Source organism: Homo sapiens, chromosome 10 (genome assembly GCF_000001405.40).
Source record: "Homo sapiens chromosome 10, GRCh38.p14 Primary Assembly".
Taxonomy (NCBI): Eukaryota; Metazoa; Chordata; class Mammalia; order Primates; family Hominidae; genus Homo; species Homo sapiens.
In genome coordinates this window covers 45,070,104-45,075,876 of record NC_000010.11, presented here as the reverse complement: position 1 = coordinate 45,075,876, position 5,773 = coordinate 45,070,104, and the positions used below count along the sequence as shown (strand labels likewise).

Here is a 5,773-nt window from a genome sequence, read left to right as displayed (position 1 = left end):
GCCATTTTGCAGGGGCAAGGCAGTCCCACTTCTGATATTCTGTACACTAAGGAAATTCCATTCAAGGTGAGATGATGGACACAGTGAGAGCAACTTATTTTCGGTTGTGCTAAAGGAGAAAATCAACAGTGACACAGAATAGTATTTATGCAGAACTCTGACTTCAGTGCAGCATGTTTAATCAGCATGTTGCCCCTGCCTGCCAGTGCCTTGAAGTACTCACTTGGGCTTGTCAAGGGTCTAAATCATACGATTATAAGCTCATGTTCTTCTATTCTCTCATCCTCTTTAGAGACAGCGATGTGGAACTTTTCTTTCTCTGCTTGCTTTTAAAATTGTACTTTTCACAAACACTGGGAATGTTTATGTAGAAAATGTGGAAGTGACTTAAACTAATAAGGTGTCACCAGAAGAGAAGAACTAGGAGTCTACGGAAGCTGACTTTGTAGATTTCAGAAAATCTGCCTGTATCTGATAAGGTGCTGATAGGCAGGAGCAGAAGTTGGTCCCAGAGCCGTTTCTCTCCCTCTCAGAGATGCTTCCTACCTTGAAAAGTCATGTGGACACTAAAAGCTTTAAAATGCCAGGAAAGATTGAATTTCTGTTATTATTGTGTGGTGGTGATATGTGTATATGTGTGTATATGCATATGTACGTGTGTGTGTATTGAAAAATGTAAATAAACAGTGAGAAAAATTGCAGTGGGAGATTAGATTTCCCCTAGAAAGATAACGTAAAACATTTAAACGTGTTATGACTGTAGGGAGAAAAGAATAGGTTGAGGCAATAAGTTTCTACACTTTTCTTATGTACCTGAAACAAAAAGTTATGGAGGTATTTTGGGCGTTTTATTATCGTTGCCATTGTTGTCATCTTTATAGTATACAGACGGAACGATTTAACCCAAACTTAGATCCACCTCCAAGAACGTCAAAGTCCAAGGCTTCTCAGTGAAGGCTGCCCAGGGTCAAGTCAGAGAACCAGGATTACAAATTGCTTCTGGCCAGAAGGAGAGAAGTATGGTGCAGAAAATAAATTCCTGGGGAAACAAAGTGAGTAGGCCTTTAGAAAACTGTAGATTTAAGAAGACAGAATAGATGCATTTCTTTAAATCATGGTGTCTTCACCATAAGCGAGTAACTGTGTAACTGTACTTCATTAAGGATGAGCTGATGGTTATAATATTTTAACAAAGAGTTACACTTTTGTGGAGAAAGCTTAATCAAGGGTGTCTTTACTCTGTCACTCATCTCAGTTATCTGAACTTGATGTAATATCTGTATCTCCACTTGCTTGCATTATACCATAACTGGCCTTCATCAAACAGGATGTGCTCCATTTCTAATACTCCAGAAGCACAAAACACAAAACTCAGAAATATCTGAGAAAAATCCAGGAAAACCCTCGCCAATATACAGATATGGAAGACTGCACACTACAAGAAAAAACAGAAAATAAGTATCCTTCAAACTGCAGGTCAACAGCTTCATCTACATGCATCTGCAAAACAGCAGCTTATTTTCCCCCTGACCAGCATTTAGTGGCCTTATTTCATTCTCTACTCTTTCCAGGGTAAGGAAGGAGGAGCAAAGACCCACAGGAATCTCCTGAAGTTGCCTTCCATAGCCACTTCTGAAAGAAGTAAATAAGGAATACAGTGTCTGGGGATTGTCAATATTTTGATTACAGATATGGAGGAGCATGAGAATGTACATGCGTGTTGGGTGTGTTTTATAATTTTAAAGTCAGTATCACCGGTTGCTGATAACAGTCACAACCATTCATCCAATCAACAAATACTGATTACCTATTAGGTGCCAAGGAATGTCCTATTAAGAAAAAATAAATGAGAGTTTCTGCCATTTAGTCTAGGCTAGGAAATAATTCCATAAAATAATTACTAGGGCCAGGTGTGGTGGCTCACATCTGTAATTTCAGCACTTTGGGAGGCCAAGGCGGCTGGATCACCTGAGGTCAGGAGCTCGAGACCAGCCTGGTCAATATGGTGAAACCTCATCTCTACTAAAAATACAAAAATTGGCAGAAGAATCGCTTGAACCAGGGAGGTGGAGGTTGCAGTGAGCTGAGATCATGCCACTGCACTCCAGCCTGGCTAACAAAGCAAGACTCCTTCTCAAATAATAATAATAATTGTTGTTATTATTATTATTACTGGCCAGGCATGGTGGCTCACACTTATAATCTCAGCACTCTGGGACGCCAAGGCAGGAGAATCACTTGAGGCCAGGAATTTGAGAACTGCCTGGGCAACATAGGAAAACCTCATGTCTACAAACATTTTTTTAAAAATTAGCTGGGTATAAAAGACGTGAACCAGCAGGAGTTCATCAGAGCTCTGGCAGCCTTTCTCAAAAAGTCTGGGAAGCTGAAAGTCACCGAATGGGTGGACACCATCAAGCCGGCCAAGCACAGAGAGCTTGCTGCCTACGATAAGAACTGGTTCTACACGTGAGCTGCTTCTACAGCGCGGCACCTGTACCTCTTGGGTGGTGCTGGGGTTGGCTCTATGACCAAGATCTACAAGGGCCGTCAGAGAAACAGCGTCATGCCCAGCCACTTCAGCTAAGGCTCCAAGAGTGTGGCCCGCCAGGTCCTGCAAGCCCTGGAGGGGCTGAAAATGGTGGAAAAGGACCAAGATGCAAACTGAAACCTCAGGGAGAGAGAGATCTGGACAGAATTGCCGGACAGATGGCAGCTGCCAACAAGAAGCATTAGAACAAACCATGCTGGGTTAATAAATTGCCTCATTCAAAAAAAAAAAAAAAAATTAGCTGGATGTGACCAAGCATGGTGGCTCACGCCTGTAATCCCAGCACTTTGGGAGGCCGAGATGGGCACCTCGGTCAGGAGTTTGAGACCTGAGGTCAGGAGTTTGAGACCAGCCTGCCTGACATGGTGAAACCCCGTCTCTACTAAAAATACAAAATTAGCTGGGCATGGTGGCAGGTGCCTGTAATCCCAGCTACTTGGGAGGCTGAGGCAGGAGAATCACTTGAACCCAGGAGGCGGAGGCTGTGGTGAGCTGGGATGGTACCACTGCACTCCAGCCTGGGCAACAGTGTGAGACTCTGTCTAAAAAAAAAAAAACCGGGTGCAGTGGCTCATGCCTGTAATCCCAGCACATTGGGGGGCCAAGGCGGGCGGATCATAAAGTCAGGAGACCAAGACCATCCTGGCCAACAGGGTGAAACCCTGTCTCTACTAAAAAAAAAATACAAAAATTAGCTAGGCGTGGTGGCGTGTGACTGTAATCCCACCTACTCAGGAGGCTGAGGCAGGAGAATCACTTGAACCCGGGAGGCAGAGGTTGCAGTGAGCCAAGATCACGCCACTGCACTCCAGCCTGATGACAAAGCAGGACTCTGTCTCAAAAAAAAAAAAAAAAAAAAAAAAAAAAAAATTAGCTGGGTGTGGTGGCAGGTGCCTGTAATCCCAGCTACTTGGGAGGCTGAGGGAGGAGAATCACTTGAACCCATGAGGCAAAGGCTGCAGTGAGCGGGGATGGCACTACCGTACTCCAGCTTGGGCAACAGAATGAGACTGTCTCAACAACAACAACAACAACAACAACAACAACAACAAAAATGGCCGGCCGCGGTGGCTCACGCCTGTAATCCCAGCACTTTGGAAGGCCAAGGCAGGCGGATCACGAGGTCAAGAGATCAAGACCATCCTGGCCAACATGGTGAAAACCCGTCTATACTAAAAAAAATACAAAAATTAGCTGGGCGTGGTGGCATGCGCCTGTAATCCCAGCTACTCAGGAGGCTGAGGCAGGAGAATCGCTTGAACCCGGGAAGCAGAGGTTGCAGTGAGCCGAGATCATGCCAATGCACTCCAGTCAAGCAACAGAGTGAGACTCTGTCTCAAAAAAAAAAAAAAAAGGAAAAAGAAAAAGAAAAAAAAAAGTAACTGGGTGTGGTGGCAGGTGCCTGTAATCCCATCTACTCGAGGGGCTGAGGCAGGAGAATCACTTGAACCTGGGAGGCAGAGGCTGCAGTGAGCTGACATCTGCCACTGCACTCCAGCTTGGCGAGAGAGCGAGACTCAGTCTCAAAAAAAAAAAAAAAAAAAACAAATTAGCTGGGTGTGGTGGCTTGTGCCTACACTCTCAGCTACCTAGGAGGCTGGAGCGGGAGGATCGCTGAAACCCAGGAGTTCAAAGTTATTGTGACTGTGATGACATCACTGCATTCCAGCCTGGGCAACAGAGCAAGAGCCTGTTGGGTGGCACTGGGGGCGCTGTGCCTCGCCCGGAGCCTCACCCAGAGCCTTCTGGGGTGGTGGATAGGTGAGGACCTCATCGAGGTAGGGGTTGGGCGGTGGAGAAGGGAGAGTGGCGGGGTAGCTTAGGGAAGCTTGTGAGCCAATCAGCACACAATGTGCCAGAGTGTGGGCGTGGACTGAGGGAAGAAGTGAAAAACACAGCCTGCAACGGTGCCTCAACAGTACCCCCATTTGAAATTTCGCCGGCTCCTGAGCAGACTGGGGGTCTGGCGGGCTTTTGACATAGATTGTCAAGATTGTTTCAATTATACACTTGCAGTTATTGAGGCTGAGAGAGGTGAAGCACCTTGCCTAAGGTCATACAGCCAGTGTTCGAGCCCAGGTGAGTCATAGCTAGATGACCTCACCAACCCCTCCCACCCCTCTGCATAGGAGATCAGCTAGTTCTGGAGGAGGATTATAATGAGACCTACATTTTAAGTGAGGAAGAAATTCTTGAATTTGCCCTGGAGATTGGTATTGATCCCATCAAGGAAACAGAACTGATGTGGCTGGCATGGGAGGGCATTGTGGCCCCACTGCCTGGGGAGTGGAAACTATGCCAGGACATGGGGGGTGACAAATATTTTTTCAACTTTGCCAACAGGCAGTCTATATGGGACCATCCACATGACAAACACTATCAGAACCTGGTGATCTGAGAGTGGGCAAAGCTGTCAACTCTGGGGTCATTAAGAAGAAGAAGAAAAAGGAAAAGAAAGACAAGGAGGACAAAAAAGACCCCCAAAAGTCCCCTGGCCCTGGGTTCCTCGTTAGCCCCAGTTCATGTTCCTCTTGGCGCCTGGCTCCTTTAAGAGGTCTTGTTAGAAATACCAAAATTGTTAGAAATTGATCATCAGTGCTGTGAAGAAAAGTCAGCACAGAGACAAAAGATCTCTCAGCAAGGCAATCTTTACTTTCTGCAGAAAGGTTGCTCAATCGCAGATGGACCAATGGTGAAAGCACACCTGAACAAAGGAAAAGCAGACATATTTATCCCTTACACATTTGGGTTGTCCTTACTGCTGTGTCCTGCATCCATTGGCTGGAGCGGAACCTCACACTCTTAAACTGATACCCAATTTGCTAATAGCCTAAAACTTCCTAAATAGGTAAGTGCAGGGACGAACAAAGAAGTTGCTTACGAAAAGTTTAAGGAAGCAATAACATTTCCAAATGAAGAAGGGGCATAGGCTGTGAGCTGGAATGTGCCTGTGAGCATGTCCAACAGTTACACAGAATAGGGTTTAACAAAGCAAGGAGGCTTGAAGAAAGTTAGTCTTTAAAAGAAACTATTATTTCTAACACTTATGATTTATTATTTAACAAGAAGGGAAACTTTGAAGAGGAAACTTTTTACTTTCTACAATTCCCTCCTCTTTATAGTTTCAAACTTGCTTAGCAAGTCTTGACTTAGTTGTTTTGATTAACTCCTGGATGTATGGTACAACATAACACCTAAGAAGAAGGAGTATACTTATTATAG

The 5,773-nt window shown here is 45.1% G+C and overlaps 2 pseudogenes; both read left to right on the top strand.

Moving 5' to 3' along the window:
* Nucleotides 2,322–2,771, top strand: RPS19P7 (ribosomal protein S19 pseudogene 7; annotated as a pseudogene).
* On the top strand, nucleotides 4,609–5,112 carry CEP164P1 (centrosomal protein 164 pseudogene 1; annotated as a pseudogene).